General features: G+C 41.6%; 1 long non-coding RNA gene across 1 annotated transcript in view, besides 1 other annotated feature; it reads left to right on the plus strand.

Moving 5' to 3' along the window:
* The window catches only part of GAS1RR (GAS1 adjacent regulatory RNA), a 53,336-nt gene that overhangs the window by 6,929 nt on the left and 29,778 nt on the right, over positions 1 to 16,629 (plus strand). The window lies entirely within an intron of this gene.
* Positions 14,303 to 14,472: an enhancer, noted in NCBI's record as "experimental_108378 CRE fragment used in MPRA reporter constructs". NCBI's record gives its function as "activates a minimal promoter by MPRAs in K562 erythroleukemia cells, with activity observed for both the introgressed and non-introgressed 9:89584929 variant alleles {active_cell/tissue: K562}" and the evidence as "EXISTENCE:reporter gene assay evidence [ECO:0000049][PMID:34662402]".

The following is a 16,629-nucleotide window of genomic DNA, read 5'->3' on the forward strand; positions in this document are numbered from 1 at the left end:
TGTGTAAAGATTAATAAAAATGGAAGGAACAAACTTCTAATTCTTCAGAGAACATGGATAACAACTCCAAGATGCAAAATGACAACACGATCCCGCTTTCACTGATGAGTGTATCAACAGAGACAGAGCAGCTGTTTAACATCATCAGCCTACTGTTCTCTATGGAGCAGAAAACACACCCCCTCATCATTGCTTTGGAACTGGGGAGATCAAGATCCTGGCTCAGTTTCAATATCTAATAACATGAGGAAATACCCACAAAATTAGTAGGAGCTCCAATTATCAGGAAACTCGACTTTCATACTTTTTGAAAAGAGATATTAATGAAATAGAGACTTAAACCCATTGGCAAGATACAACATAGAACATTTGAGGCACAACATGCTTCAACCTCAGTGGATTGCAGTTAGCCAGTTAGCAGTACAACGATATTTCTACCAAGAGCATTTTTTCCCCCAAGAGAGTACCTTGGGCACATTTGGGCATTACCTACTAAATTCTCCAATAATTGGGGCCGATTCTACAATATGCGTAGTTAGTATGTTTCAAAGTCGTGCTAGGCCTTATTTCCAAATCTAGCTTCTCACTACTGAAATTAAGAAGAAACTTTTGGCTGGGTGCTGTGGCTCATGCATGTAATCCCAGCACTTTGGGTGGCCGAGGCAGGCAGATCACGAGGTCAGGAGATCAAGACCATCCTGGCCAACATGGTGAAACCCCATCTCTACTAAAAGTACAAAAATTAGCTGGGCGTAGTGGTGCATGCCTGTAATCCCAGCTACTCAGGAGGCTGAGGCAAGAGAAGCACTTGAACCAGGGAGTCTGAAGTTGCAGTGAGCTAAGATGAAACCACTGCACTCCATCCAGCCTGGTAATAGAGCAAAACTCTGTCTCAAAAAAAAAAAAAAAAAAAGAAACTTTTAAATAATTTAACTCTTTCATAAATCTAGATAAATTGTTTTCTAAATAAAAATAACATAGTTTGTAAGTGAACTTATCAAATGCCTCAAAAGTCTGCTTTTTATCTTGTGAGGATTTATATAAAGACAATAGACATCCCAAAAAAACCTATCCACAGGAAAAAAAAAATCTAGCAACAAGCTTGTACAAAATTTGTAAGTTTCAGGTTAATGCTTCTCTAGACAATTTGAGAAAAGTACTACAATTGCTTACATATTTACTGCTGAAAATCTGTAATTGTCATAAATGTCTTGGGAAAAATCTGTAATCTTATTGATAAAGATTACAAGCCATCTAATTCGTTTTAATGAAATATATATCCTAGGACTTCATCAAACACCTCATTGATGAGTTCACACTTTTCCTAAATTTTAAATTTATATGCACACTTACCTGCTCATTTCTCACTGAATTTGATTCAGTTGAATCCAACAGATGTTTATTGAGTTCCCACTGTATGTTCTAGGAAGGCAAATAATGTTTTCTTCAAGTCTTCCATCTCTGTTCCTCTTTTCTTTCTTTATTACTAGACTTTTTTTAAAAAGCACTTTTAGTTTTAAGGCAATTTTAGAAAAATTGATTGGAAAGTACAGAGGGTTCCCGCACAATTCCTACTCCCCCCACCTGTTTCCTCTATTATTTACATTCTGTGTTATATTACTGTGGCACACTCGTTACAACTGATGAACCAATACTGGTATTTTATTATTAACTAAAGTCTTCGATTTACATTAGTTCCTTCTTAGTGTTGTTCATTCTATGCATTTTGACAAATGTATAATGTCATGTATTCACTATTAGAATATCATACAGAGTTTCATCTCCCTAAATTCCCTGGAAGCATTCTGTATTAACCTAGAAGGGATCTTAAATCAAATTTTTTCGTTTACAGCTTCACTTCTTAAAGCTTCTGGATCTAGTATTTCTTTTTTGCCCATTATTTAAAAAATTAAGTGAGATTTTGCATGCCATTTGAATTCAAAAGTTGGTCTCTCTGTGGTACACATCTCCTCAAATGATTAACTATTTATGTTGAAATAGTACTTCTTATAATTCAGTTATCCATCCGGAAATATTTCTTGATTACCTGCCCTGGGCCAAGCATTCTGGTCTGTTTTCTCTTGATTAGTGAAGTTTGTGATAGGTGACCTTATGTAACATATCTTTGTTTCACTCATAGACATACATTTAATTATCAAAATCCTTTACACATATATAGTACAAAATGCAAAAGAATTTTTTTTTATTGTATAATTTTAGCAAGCTTCCACTTAACCTTTGCACCAAGACTGCCACTTCCTTTAGCCACTGTTATCAATTTCTGGCATGCATTTCCAGAGATATTACATGTATACACATATATAAGAATCTTTTTAAAAACAACAATCTTTGCCTTGTTTTTTTACTTAACAGTATATTTTGGGCACTGTTCCATGTCACTTTGTAAAAAGCTGATGTATTCCTTGCTTATCCTTTTTGATGAGTATGTAGCGTTCTGCTTTTGAGTGTTCCATAAATTATTTAAGCAGTCCCTTAGTCCCTTATTGTTGAATATTTAAATTCAAATTCTTTGTTATTCCAGTGTGGCAATGAATATTCTTGCACTTTTGTCATCTCATAAATATTTTAATGCAGCCATAGTTTACATTCGTAGAAGTGGAATTACTGAGTCAAAGAGGAGGTTCATTTTAAACTGTGCTAGATCAATTGTTCTATCTATGTATCTCTGATAGGTCCATTATTCCCTGTAGAAGTTGTGCCAGTGTATGAGAGTGTTTCCTAATATCATCACCAACATTACATGTTATTATTAAGCTTTTGGATCTTTGCCAATCTGATAAGTGAAAATTTATGCCATTGTAGCTTTAATTTTAATTTATCTTATTATATGTAAGTCATACATTATTATTTAAGTCCTCAGGAAGTTAATAAAGTAAAGACTGAATACATTTAACTGCAAGGAGGTTAGGTGATCCAACATCATCCAACTCATAAGTGAGGGCACCCAGAAAGTGCTCTCCCAAGCCCCTGTCCTCTGTCATCCCCCACCTCCCTGTACTATATAGCACAGTGCCAACAGGCTTGGTTAAAGGTTTGCATTTTCCTCCACTTGATCAGTAATTGTCAAAAAATTATTACTTTTTATGAAAAGGAATAAGTTTTCTTACTAAAATGGCAAAATCAGTTAATTCTGAAGAATCCTCCCAGATTTCATTTAAAATTTTAGGAAATCCCTTCCCTCTCACTAGAGACATACTAGAAAAAAAAATCAACATTTTTTATCTAGATAATCACTGAATGACTGACATAAAATATCTGGACTTCTGTTTGAGATGAAATTATCCTATTATTGATGGGACATATTTGAGAAACAAAGCTTCGCTCTTTCCTCCCTAACTTCCTGCTCTGAAACACCTGTTTCCATTCTGTATCTGACCAAACTCGGAGCATTGAGTTTCCATACACTATGGAACCCTGAGAATCTTGTGGTTTCTGAGCAGCCAGTGAAGACTTTGCTTTCCTTTGCATTTGTTGTGTTTGTCAGGTAGAGGCTTGTCTCTGGACCTAAGCTGTCTACTGCCTCACTGTCACAGCCAGTTTGCTGCTCTAAGAGGGTTAATTGCCCTTTCTTGTACCCTCAAATCCACTCTTGACCCTTGGTTTGGAAGGAAGGAAAGAGACAGAGCCATATGGAAGCAAGAAGGTTTCCTATGGTCCCAGGGCAGAGCAGTTTGTGGTAGTTTAACAATTATTAAACACATTAACAAAGTGACCAAATGAACCAACTTTCTGGAACAGACGTTATGTCAATCTTGAATTATGCATTTTTGCTGTTGTTATTCTTTATTCATCGAACAAATATTGCACACCAGCCGGGCGCGGTGGCTCAAGCCTGTAATCCCAGCACTTTGGGAGGCGGAGGCAGGCGAATCATGAGGTCCGGATATCGAGACCATCCTGGCTAACACAGTGAAACCCCGTCTGTACTAAAAATCCAAAAAAAAAGCCGGGTTCCGTGGCAGGCGCTTGTAGTCCCAGCTACTCAGGAGGCTGAGGCAGGAGAATGGCGTGAACGCGGGAGGAGGAGCTTGCAGTGAGCCGAGATCGCGCCACTGCACTCCCATCTGGGCAACAGAGCGAGACACTGTCTCAGAAAAAAAAAAAAAAAATTGCACACCAGTTTGTGTCAGAAGCTGGTCTCTGTTCTACAGGTCTAGCAATAACTAACAGGAGGAAATGCCTCCTCGTAGTTCATTTTATCCAATGGCTCTCATAATTTTCTTTCCCCATTTTCATGGTAAATCTGAGAACTGAGTGACCTATCATTACAAAAGCGGAGTCCGTTTCTGGAATTTCTGGAAAACGGCAGATGCCCTCAGGCTTAGTCTTATCTCTATTCCACAAACAAAAGAAGTGAAGTGAATTCCTTCCTAGGACCTTCTAGGTCCTGGAGGAAAAGTCTATGCCATTCTCAAATCTTTGAGAAACATCTGGGGGAAGCATAAACAAGGTGGAAGAAAAGCCTCCCTTTAAAAGCTGATCAGCCACTTCTCTGCCAAGGGCTTGTCAAAATTGCTCAAGAGGGAGGAAAAAAGAGAGAGAAACAAGTGCACATATACATTTTTAAAGTAGCTAGCAACCAAGACAACACCAATTATTTAACCACAGTAAAGAAACCAGCAGCCAAACCACACTGATTATTTAACCGCTTATCCAAGTGCTGAACACAGCCATAGCCAGCCACATTAATTTAATGTAAATATCCCCAGTAACCAGTCACACGGAGTCAAGAACTGCAGCAAGGGCAGCTCCTCACCTTTCCGTGTCTTGTCTCCAGATGTCTGGAACTGAGAAATTGGCTATCATCCAACCCATATTTTGCTATTTTTTCCCCCTTGGCATTTTTGTTTCTCCAAAAATGGGTTCATCCCTTCGCTGCTGATCTACAGTCTCACGTGTATACACATACTCAGGGGGACATTGCACTTAGTGAATTATGTTCTTTCCCTCTTCATTTCCACCTGTCCTTTTCAAATCAGTCTTTCTCCTTTTTTAACTTCAGTGCTTCCTTTACAGTACATTTGATTCCTACTTCTGTAATTTTCGCTGATCATTATAAGTAAACTTTACTCTCAAGAAGAATTTATCAGGAAAACATGATCTTGCTTTGCTATTTGTCATTACATAATCCATACCATTGGAATTTACTATAAAATATTTCCTTTCAGTGAGAAATGCCCAGACTCATAGATCTCATAAGCCCAGATGTTCATGTTTGAAAAACACAGCTCAGGTTTTAATGGCCACAGGTTTGGCATCTGACTCAAGGTCAGCCAACCCATTGTCTAGCAACCAATCTGATTCCTCTCTTTGGGATTTGAACCAAGAGACATGGAGATTGGCTTGAAATGTGGCATAGATTGGGAGCTGGCTGACAGGGGAGGCCATGTGCAAACAGAGCAAGCTTAACTGGAGAGAGGAGCAGAGAGAAACAGCTGAGGAAGACCCAGTGGTCCACAGCAGTTAAACGTGAAGCAACCGGTAACCATATGCTTCCCTGAAGGAAGGAGAGAGACGCCCCACTGCCTGTCTGTGGTCTAGTTCTATTTCTCAGGAACCGGTCTCTATTTCAGTTGCTACAACCGTGAGATTGATGCTGGATATGCCTCATATTACATTTGTGTCAGCAGATAATAGGGCAAGATTAGGCTCTGGGGTCACCTAGCTGGTCCCTTTCGATTCTGCTCTCTCCTCAATGCCCACCTTTTCTCTGGCCATGGCATCAGTTTTAAAATGATGATTGTGAATAAAATGTCTATCTCATGTGTAGGGAAGCTTCTTAGGCATAATGTAACAAGCTTAATGAGAACTTGAGCTTTGTGGAGTGAGTCATGGAGCTACTACATAGAGAAAAAGGTTCAGGGTGCCATTGATGCCTAACCAGCTTGTACAATACCTCATCAATGGCAAAGCGCAATGTTGGTGGGCTGAACCTCTTCTCTTTCCCATTGCTTTTGAGTGCTAGATGCCATATTCTGACTTCTCTGGTTCAAATCTAACCCGATTTTGGGGGTGGGAAATTAAAAGTGCTCTTGGCGCAGGATAAGTTCGAGATGGTTTTTGAACAACCAAATGAGTATATATATATGGAGATAAGAGAAAGACTAAGATTGAAAATATCACAAAGCACTTTGGAAAGAAGGGGGTGATTGGTCATGTCCAATGCTGTGGAAAGGTCACATAAGCTGAAGACTGAGAAGTGACCATTGCATTGGGTAGAGCAAGATTTTGATCATTAGTGACCTTGACAAGTAAAATGATGAGATAAAATCTGATTATAGTGAATTGGGAAGAGAACACGAGGAGACAGTGGAAAAAGTAAGTAAAAGCAACTTTTTCCAGGATTTTTAATAGAAATGAGAGAGTTACTCACTGGGGACTTCCCCAGGGGAGGTGGTGGGTTATCAGCACAGATGCTAGGAGCAGCCAGGGTTTGAATCTCAGCCTTATAGGAATTAAACTCATTAAGACTCAAATTTCTTAACCTGTAAAAGGAAGTTCAGAGCATAAAATTATTAACTGAAGAGTTGAGTTTCTAGCATGATACACATATTGGCTAAATTAAATCTAACCACAGATGAGATGCTTTATTTGTCTGATATCTATGAGCACACACCTAGTAGCTCTTGGATAGAAACTCATGCAGTTCTGTGTATATGACTCTTTACTGCCCATCTGCCGTGTCCTGGTGCTGTGCTGCTCTAGGTGAATGTGAGACAGTCCCTGTCCTTCACAGCCTCACCAGCTAACCTGAAGCAAGAAGATACCTCTACCACCACAATGACCTATCTTGAGCCTGAATAGAACTTCCCTGGGTTATTTCATAAATGCAGATTCCAGGACATCTACTGGACCTGCAGAAGACTCTGGTAGCAGAGCCTGCCGAATCCCACATGGTACCATCTACAGTGATTTCTTCTGCACACTGGAGTCTGAGGACTCTTGCTAAGGAAACTTGGATGGTTGTGGAAGTTTCTGGGCAGATGAGTGACAACAGAGCAGCATTTGAAGATGAGCCTGTTAGGACTGATTGGAGGGAAGAGAGGCAGCAGTACTAATTAAGATGAGATGGCCATGAACCAGGGTGAAAAGAGTGCTTATGTATAAGGAGGGAGCAGTGAATATAAAAAGAAGGGCAGGCAAGAAAGATTGTTTTCAACGCAAGAAATGACAGTGTTTAGTAACTGAGTGGAAATAATAAATAAAGGAAGTGTTAGCAGCGGAATGTTTCTGTATCACGTGACACCAAAGTAAGTTAGCGGAGGCAAATCCAAACGGGTCTGCAGCAACCTCAATTCTTGCCTCCTCGGAAGAAATAATTAGACCGAGGGACGTAGAGCAGAGTGAGAGACTGAGGCAAGTTTTAGAGCAGGAGTTAAACTTTATTAAAAAGCTGCAGAGCAGGAACGAAAGGAAGTAGAGTACATTTGGAAGAGGGCCAAGTGGGCAACTTGAGAGATCAAGTGTACTGTTTGAACTTTGACTCGGGATTTTAAACGTTGGCATGCTTCTGAAGGGTTGTACCCCTTCTCCCCCGATTCTCCCCTGATTCTTCCCTTGGGGTGGGCTGTGCACATGTGCAGTGTGTCTACTGCAGGCACTTGGGAGGGGCCACATGCCTAGTGTGTCTACTGGAGTTGTACGTATGCTCACTTGAGGCGTTCTTCCCTTACCATTCGAATGTTCTTAGAAGGTCATATGCCAGTTAAACTCCACCATTTTGCCTCTTCTTAATGCATATGCTTGAGCTCACTCCCACAGCTCCTGAGATCTTATCAGGAAGCTGCTGATCACCAGTTTAAGGGTTTTTTTTTTCTGTTGGGAGACTGCCTTTCTCTGGTTCTTGCTGCGACCAATTATTATTTTAGAGAAACTGTAACAACTGCCTGACCATCTCCTGATGGTGACCTGACACTCCTGGTTGGGGGAGCCCTCTGCTGCCCTGCTCATGCCTAACTAGCTACCCACTGTAATAGAAGGAAGGGAGGATGACTCCAAGGTTTCATTCAAGGAGGCTGCTCCCCTTAGTTTCAGATTTGTTTTTCTGCCTCCTCAACATCTCCACTCAGAAGTCCAATAGTCACTGTCAATGGAGCACATCAAAAGCACAAGCTGGAGTTTCCATTTTCCTCAAACCTACTTCTCCCCCAGCCTCTTCCCCATCTCAGCAAGTTACAACTCACGACAAGGCTCTGAAGTGATTCTTGAACTCCCATTTCTTCCATAGTCCCATAACCAAATCCTGCAGCTATACTTTCAAAATCAATCAACAATCTTTCTATTTTTCATTGCCTCCAACTTGACCATTTTGGCCCAACCAACATTATCCTTGGCCTAACCTATGACAACAGCTTCCTAACTTGTCCCTGCTTCTACCCTTGTTCTTCATAAACTATTCAGATCATGTCACTTCTCTGCTCAGATCCCTTTAATAGTTCCCCCAATTCATTCCAAGTCAAAGCCAAAGTTCTTACAGTGGCCCACAGGGTCCTACACGATCCCATCCCCCAGCACCTCTCTGACCTCATCTCTTCTCACTGGCCCACAAGCAATCTGCTGGAGACCTTCAGATGGCTGTGTTGTCACTTATATTTGGCCAGCCGGCTCCCAAATCTGGTCGTTTGTTCCTGCCATTCACTCTGCTGTTGGTGGATCTAAACTTCCTCCGTCCTTCCCTCTCCATCAAGGTTTGGAGGTGGTATTCCTTGCCTTAAATACAATCCTTCCAGAAATCCACATGATGGACTATTATTATTATTCCAATAATGTCACTGTGTCATCTTCACAGAGGCCTTTCATGACCTCCCTACATGGAATAACATTAATCAAGTAACTAGTTGTGACTCTCTACCTGCCTTGTTCTGCTTAGTTTTTTAATTAGCCCTTATCACTTGGTATATTATATACTTACTTTTCTATTATCTGTCACCCACAAACAGAATGTAAAATGCTAAGAGAAGGGCATTTATATAGTTTGTTTAGTGCTAGAGCCCCTGAGCCTTGAACAGAGACCGGCACATAAACCTTCATAAACATTTGTTGAATAAATGGCAAGACTGAATTAAGAGGCAGCGTAGCCACTAGGAAAGAACATGGGCTCTTGAGCCAGGTGGGCTGGGTTTGTAACTTGGCTCTACTTCCTGCTTAATAAGTAATCCTGCACAAGTTACTTTGCATCTCCATGCCTCGGTTTTCTTATCTGTAGAATGCAGGTATTAATAAGAGCCGTCTGTGGCCATTTTAAACATCGCTACACATTCTTTAACACTGCTTCCGTGGAGAGTAAGGTCTATGTTCCTCCCACCCCTAACTCTGAGCAGTCTTGCGACTGCTTTGATCAGTAGAATACAACAGAAGTAGTGCTTCCAAGGCTAGGTACACAAGGTGATCTAGCTTCTGCCTTGCTCACAGGAACCCTTGCCCTTGGAGTTCAGAGCTGCCATGTAAGAAGTACAAGTACTTTGAGGCTGCCATGGTGGGGGGATCCTCAAACTACATGGAGAGGCAATAAGTAGGTGCTCCAATCTGCAGTTCCAACTGAGTCCTGCCTTCAAATCCTCCCAGGCCAAATGTCAGATGTGTAGAAAGAATCACCCAGATGATTCCATCCCCCTGCAATTGGTCAGTTGGTCAGTTCACCTGTAGCTGTTCAGGTCTTTTGAGCTTAGACCTCAGATGTTGTAGAGTAGAAACAGATCACTCCCATCTGATTTCCTATGTCCAGTGTACTTATCCAGACAATCTGTAAGCATAGTAAAATGGCTGTTCTTTTATACCACTAAGTGGAATCATATTGTATTATATCTATGAGTACAGTATTACAGTATTAGAGTATTAAATATTCAAGTATATTAATATAAGTATTAGAGTTAGGTCTCACTCACTTGTGTGTTTCTCTGAGCACGTAGCAACAGTGTGAGGCCTAAAGGAGACACTCCACAAACGTTTGCTTCACTGGTTTCATAAATGCACTCGTGTTCATTATCGTCTATAAACTTCTTGGAAAACATTGTTTTTCAACAATTTTCTCCATTCTTGTCTTGAAATTTGTCATATTTGCCGAGAAGTTGATTGGTAATCTTATAAGATTTAGATTGAAGTTTATGGATGACATGGCTAGTATTGCTAAGAATGTACAGTGCAGCGTAAACACGGAAGTCTTGCATAATCTTTTCCTGGACTTGTGCTTTCTTGAACTGGGTTCAAATCTAAACTGAGCAAGGCCACACAGGGCGTTAAAGCAAAAAATGTACAGTTGGAATGCACTGAACCCCCTCGACTGGGGGAGATAGGCCTCAGAGGAGGTAATTTTTAAGAACCTGCCTTTTATTTCCAGTCACCTGGCAAGCCAATCTAAGAAAATATACAGTACAAATGTGATTTTCTAGTGACACAATTGTCTAGAGAGAAAAACAACTTCAAACATATCATGGTGTTTTGGAAATTATTTGCTGAATATGTCAACATACCCCTTGAAAGAAAAGCAGTTGCCTAGCTTTTGGACTCTTCTCATGTGCAGATTTCTCAAATTTTGAAATAACAAAATCCTTAAAATAATTACTTGGATATGACTCACATTTTTTAGACAGCCTGTTGGATACTTGCTACAAATAATTTCATGTGTCTAATTTAATGGTACAGCTATATAGGGCAAGAAGGAAAAAATAGGAGGGCAGGGAAGCTAAAGAAGAAAGGGAACAGCAAGCAAGGTTTAGATGTAATTGTTTGAGAGTGCTGCCTTAGGAAATAGTAATCTCTTTTGAGGTTTGTAGTCTCGGAATTCTTTTTTTTTTGAGTCAGAGTCTTGCTCTGTCTTCCAGGCTGGAGTGCAGTGGCACAATTTCAACTCACTGCAACCTCTGCCTCCTGGGCTCAAGCAATTCTCCTGCCTCAACCTCCTGAGTAGCTGGGATTACAGGTGTGTGCCACCACACCTGGCTAATTTTTGTATTTTTAGTAGAGACGGAGTTTCACCATGTTGGCCAGCCTGGTCTCGAACTCCTGACCTCAGGTGATCCACCTGCCTCAGCCTCCCAAAGTGCTTGGATTACAGGCTTGAGTCGCGGTGCTCAGCCTAGTCTCTGCATTTTTACTACAGCAAATATTAATGCTTCAATGTCATATATAGCCAGTAAAGCAGAGTCTTCATATTCAAAGTGAAACGTATTTAGGACTGTTTTTTCTCAGTTAACAGTGAAATCAGGGGGGTAACGGTGTTACTAATGATTTCCTATGTATTGACCCAGGGTAGAAAGTTCCTTTCTAGGGGCTGTTGACTTTATGAATCAGGATTATCATCTGAGAGCGCGGGAAGCCTGGTTGGGAGGGTCAGTTGCCAAATAAACAACCTGGGGAACTCTGTGTCTCAAGCAAGAGAAGGACATATTTATTAAACACACATGGTGCTATGGTTTAAATCTGTCTCCCAGTTCAAATTTCATGTCCAATTTTAATCCCTAATGCTGGAGGTAGGGTCTGGTGGGAGGTGACTGCATCATGGGGGCGTTGTTCTCATGAATGGTTTAGCACCACCCATCCTGGTACTGTATAGTGGGCGAGTTCTTACGAGAGATCTGGTTGTTTAAAAGTGTGAGGCACCTTCCTGCTCCCCCTTCCTCCTGCTCTGGCCGTTTGAAGTGCTCTCTGCCACTTTGCCTTCCACCATGTTTGTAAGTTTTCTGGAGGCCTGCCCAGAAGCCGAGCAGATGCCGACACCACGTTCCTGTACAGTCTGTGGAACCATGAGCCAATTACACTTCTTTTCTTTATAAATTACCTGGTCTCAGGTATTTCTTTATAGCAGGGTAAGAACAGACTAATACATTTGGGCAACTGATTTTGCCATTTACATTGCAATTTTATTTTAGTGATTAGCCCAATATTGCACCTTGCAAAACTATCTCCTTCATGGATTTTATTTATTTATTTATTTATTTATTTATTTATTTTGAGACAGAGTCTTGCTCTGTCATCCAGGCTGGAGTGCAGTGGCATGATCTCGGCTCACTGCAACCTTCACCTCCTGGGTTCAAGCAATTCTCCTGCCTCAGCCTCCCCAGTAGCTGGGATTACTGGCGCACACCACCACACCCAGCTAATTTTTGTATTTTTAGTAGAGACAAGGTTTCACTATGTTGGCCAGGCTGGTCTCGAACTCCTGACCTTGTGATCTGCCTGCCTCAGCCTCCCAAAGTGCTGGGATTACAGAGGTGAACCACCACACCCAGCCAAGGATTATCATTATTATTGATGATTAATTTTTTTTTTTTTTTGAGACGGAGTCTCGCTCTGTCACCCAGGCTGGAGTGCAGTGGCATGATCTTGGCTCACTGCAAGCTCCGCCTCCCGAGTTCGTGCCATTCTCCTGCCTCAGCTTCCCGAGTAGCTGGGACTACAGGCGCCCGCCACCACGCCCGGCTAATTTTTTGTATTTTCAGTGGAGACGGGGTTTCACCACGTTAACCAGGATGGTCTCGATCTCCTGACCTCGTGATCCACCTTCCTCGGCCTCCCAAAGTGCTGGGATTACAGGCATAAGCCACCGCACCCGGCCATTGATGATTAATTTTTATTGAGCATTCATATTTTCAGGAGATGTGGTGGGCTGAATACCTACTCTATGCTAGAGTGTACTAGGTTTATATGTGCACCATGCCCTTAATCCTAACATCATTCTACCTATTTGCAGATGCATGGCTTGAGATGCCCAGAGCCATAGTGCTAGCAAGCAACTGGGATATGGAGCTAGATCTCTCTGACTCCAACATCTTGCCTCACTTGCCTCATTGTACATGATGTGCTATCAAGTGCTTACTTTGAGCAGCTGCTGGGAAACAGGTCTGCTGGGGCCTCAAACAATCATTTGGTCTTTAGTCTCTGGTTTAATGTTGGCCAATTATTTTAGCCAACAAACCAAGCAGGTTGGAGGAGTGGGCTGGCTTTGACATCAGCATGTCGAGACTGGCAACCCCGCCTCAGCTCTGATATCATCACGGTGAAGTCAGCCTGGCGTGGCCCCCACTCACAATTCCTGTCAGAATTGTGGTCTAGCCACAAGCCAGACACCGTAGGCTCCAAGAACTGGTAAAAAGCCTGGGCGAAATAGATTGGTGGGAAATGTGCATTCCGTGGGCAGCCAGCTTCCCAAGGCTGCCAACCTTTGCTTTCCTAAAGAGAAAGAAGATTAAGTAGTTAGCTGCCTTGGATTCAGGATGCCAATTTCAACACTACACATGTGCAGAGTGATCCCTTTTGATTGTTTAGGCAACGCTGGAGAGAAATGTGTCTAAAATTATTTTATGTCATTTCAAATGTTCCTATTCTCCATTTTGTGTATGAGCTTCTTGGTGACTTCTTTGAGTCATTCTGATATTTGTGTGCATAGCTAAATGTATATGTGACATAAGCTGTTTTGAGCACCTACATTATAATGTGTCAGGGACAACAGTGCCTCTCTCTTTTCTGAATGTATTTAGCCAGTTAGTGTTAATGTTACCTAAGCTGACACTCCACCATTGTGCCATCGGCTCCAGATCCAGTCCCTGTCCTTCCCCTTCTCTCCCCTCTTCTGTATCACTGAGAGCTTTACCCTGCTGGCTGACTTTCTCAGGCTTCCTTGTAAGCTGTTTTTCAGCAGGGTTTGGCTGAGGGGAGGCACTGGTGAGGGACAAAGGAGAAAGAAAGAAGGGAGAATCCAGGATGTTTTTCCTGTCCCTCTTTGCCTCAAGCAGCATCCCCCGACTCCACACCTCCATTACCCACTTGGCTGCCATAGTTCTCACTGGTTCCTGTGACCTGACCCTTGGGCTCAGGTAACTATGATCTTTCTCTCTGTCCTTCTAGCCTTGGAGACGTGGCAGCTCCCTGCTCATGCAGATCTCTGGGTTACACCGCTGTGCCTGGTTCAGCTTCCTAGCATCTATTATCTATGTAAGGAATTTAATTCTCTCTCTTTGATGTACCCACAGTGGTTTCTGCCTTCTTAGGTGGATCCTGATAAATATAATTACGCTAGTTTTTGTCGCACTTAGGAATGTTTCAGATGCCTATGAATTGCCTTTAAGAGATTTTGGTAAGATATAGTTTAGGGGTCTTTCTTTTAGTTCAACAAACATTCAGTGGGTACCTACTATGCACAACACAAGTTTGTAGGTGAATAGTTATTGATTGTTACACAGCCAGCATCTAAAAAGATGAGACGATCTGAAGAGCGTTCTTTTCAGGTCAGTGGAATGTAATCAGCACAATTGATTTATTGCCTGCACTTAATAAGAGATATTAGGAGACAAAAACATTTATTAATGTTCTTGTTTGATCAGTGTTAATGTCAAGGCTTGTTATACGGGGGTGCCATCAAATCGCCTGCTCGTACATATTCTCACAGAGCACCAAAAATTCCATCCAAATAAATTATTGTTATTATTATTTCAACTGATTCATTTGGCAGGAAAAGTTGGGATCAGAAGAGCAGGTGAGCCATGTTTCCTCCTGCCCTTGATATAGGCAGTCTGGTGTTGAGCTAAGTGAGTGATTAAGACCTTTTTTTTTTTTTTTTGAGACAGAGTCTGGCTCTGTCACCCAGGCTGGAGCACAGTGGGGCCATCTCAGCTCACTGCAAGCTCCGCCTCCCAGGTTCACACCATTCTCCTGCCTCAGCCTCCCAAGTAGCTGGGACTACAGGTGCCTGCCACCACGCCCAGCTAATTTTTTTGTATTTTTAGTAGAGATGGGGTTTCACTGTGTTAGCCAGGATGGTCTCAATCTCCTGACCTCGTGATCTGCCTGCCTCAGCCTCCCAAAGTGCTGGGATTACAGGCATGAGCCACCGCACCCGGCCGATTAAGACCTTTTCTATAGCATCAGGCATTGACCTATGAGACCTGTGAGGTCCACACACTGATAACCAATTCCCTAGGAATGATGAGGAAGACACAGAAGATGGGAGCTATGAGAGCAGCCTTTTGTGATTTTTCATGATGTAACTGATACTTCCTGTGAGCAAATAAGCTACTGGCTAGGTTCATCACAAATGGCCTGTGGTGACTGAAGAGTTGTGCATATTTTTACTTACTAAAGGACATGTATGCAAATTCTTATTGATGTTATAAATCATGGTATTTTGAGGGATGCCAAGAAATTGATCATTTTCACTAAGTGAAATCATCTAATGCCTCTTAGAGGTGAACATCAGAGTTTGGAATAACAAGCATCTTTTACCGCTCTTCCTTGATACTCCTAGACTCTTGCTTTCCTGTCAAACTGCCTCCTATGTTAGCCTCAGAGGGAATGAGGTTGTTAAATTCCAGTTGTGGGATCAGTGGAGGTGTAGTAACCCTAACTTACTATCAGAGTATTCTCTGATAACATGAAAAGAAGAAAGGGGTGGAGGAGAAAGAGAAGAGGAGGGGAGGAGGGATGGGTGACAAGGAGTTAAGGAGGAGTGACGGATAAAGCCATGGCCATTCCAGATGCTGTTGTCTGAGCTACTACCTGCTTGTCCTGTTGCCTTAGGGATGGGGACCCTTCTTGCACTGCATTAGCCCAGTAGGGAAGGCTTGTGGGGCTTTCTATTTGTTTTCATTTATTTACTCTGATAGGAGGCAAGCTTCATTTCCTTAGCTTACCTCTTTTATTCTTTTATACTTAAAGTATACTTTTATTCTTAAATTTTTAAGTATAAAAACCGATCTCACCTGCATTTTCTTCTTGAAACCCATTCAATCTTGTAAGCTAATTGTTTGCCGGTTCACCATTCTCCCAGCTAGATATGAGACACAACCATTTGAAGTTCCTTTTTACGTGTGCCAGATGAAAAATCCAATTCATCCCTTAACTTTCCTTAGTAACCGAAGGAGGTGAAATACACCATCTGTTTGGTTTGTTAAAAAGTGGTGCCTTTGGATATCACATTAATTGGATTTAAAGCGTGGGCAAAATTGAATATCTAGCAGGCCTGGAAGTTATATTTAAAGCTATTTTCCCCTCTCGGTGGAAACAAAATACCGAACATTCATGATAGATTGAGATTTAAAATGGTAGTTCCATAAGAAGGTGGTTCTCCTCTCTCTCTCCGCATGTTCCTCTGTAAAGAAGTTCCTGAATTTAGAATAGAAAATAACAGTAAACAGTATTTTGAAAGCAATGTAGCCTAGTTGGTGTTGAAAAGTTTAAAGATTTAAATGTTCTGTTTGTGAAGGAATTTGCTAATTGTCCTGCAGATGTTCCTTCTTTTTATCCCTTATGTGTCATAGTTTCCTTAACATTCTCTTCCTCCCTTTCTTTCTCTGGCTTTAGCTCTCCATCTTGTTCTCTTTTTTAAAGCAGTGAAGATAAGTTCAAAGAATGTGTAAAACTTCTTTTCTTTCCCTGGAAACAAGGCTATGCCTCAGTGCCAAAGTCCTGAGGCCCTGTCTTGATGAGAAGCCCTCTTGCTTTAATTGTAACTTTTCCAGAAAGTTCTCTCCCAACTCAGTGACTTGTGTATCCTGGATTTAATTTTATTAAGTGAGTTGCAACGTTAAATTATTTGGCCCTATTTCATGACTCCACCTAACATTCTAACCCCCCACTGAAATAATCAAATAGTGAGTAACAAATACCTGTATTTTT

The sequence above is a fragment of the Homo sapiens genome, chromosome 9, assembly GCF_000001405.40.
Source record: "Homo sapiens chromosome 9, GRCh38.p14 Primary Assembly".
NCBI classification, from domain to species: Eukaryota; Metazoa; Chordata; class Mammalia; order Primates; family Hominidae; genus Homo; species Homo sapiens.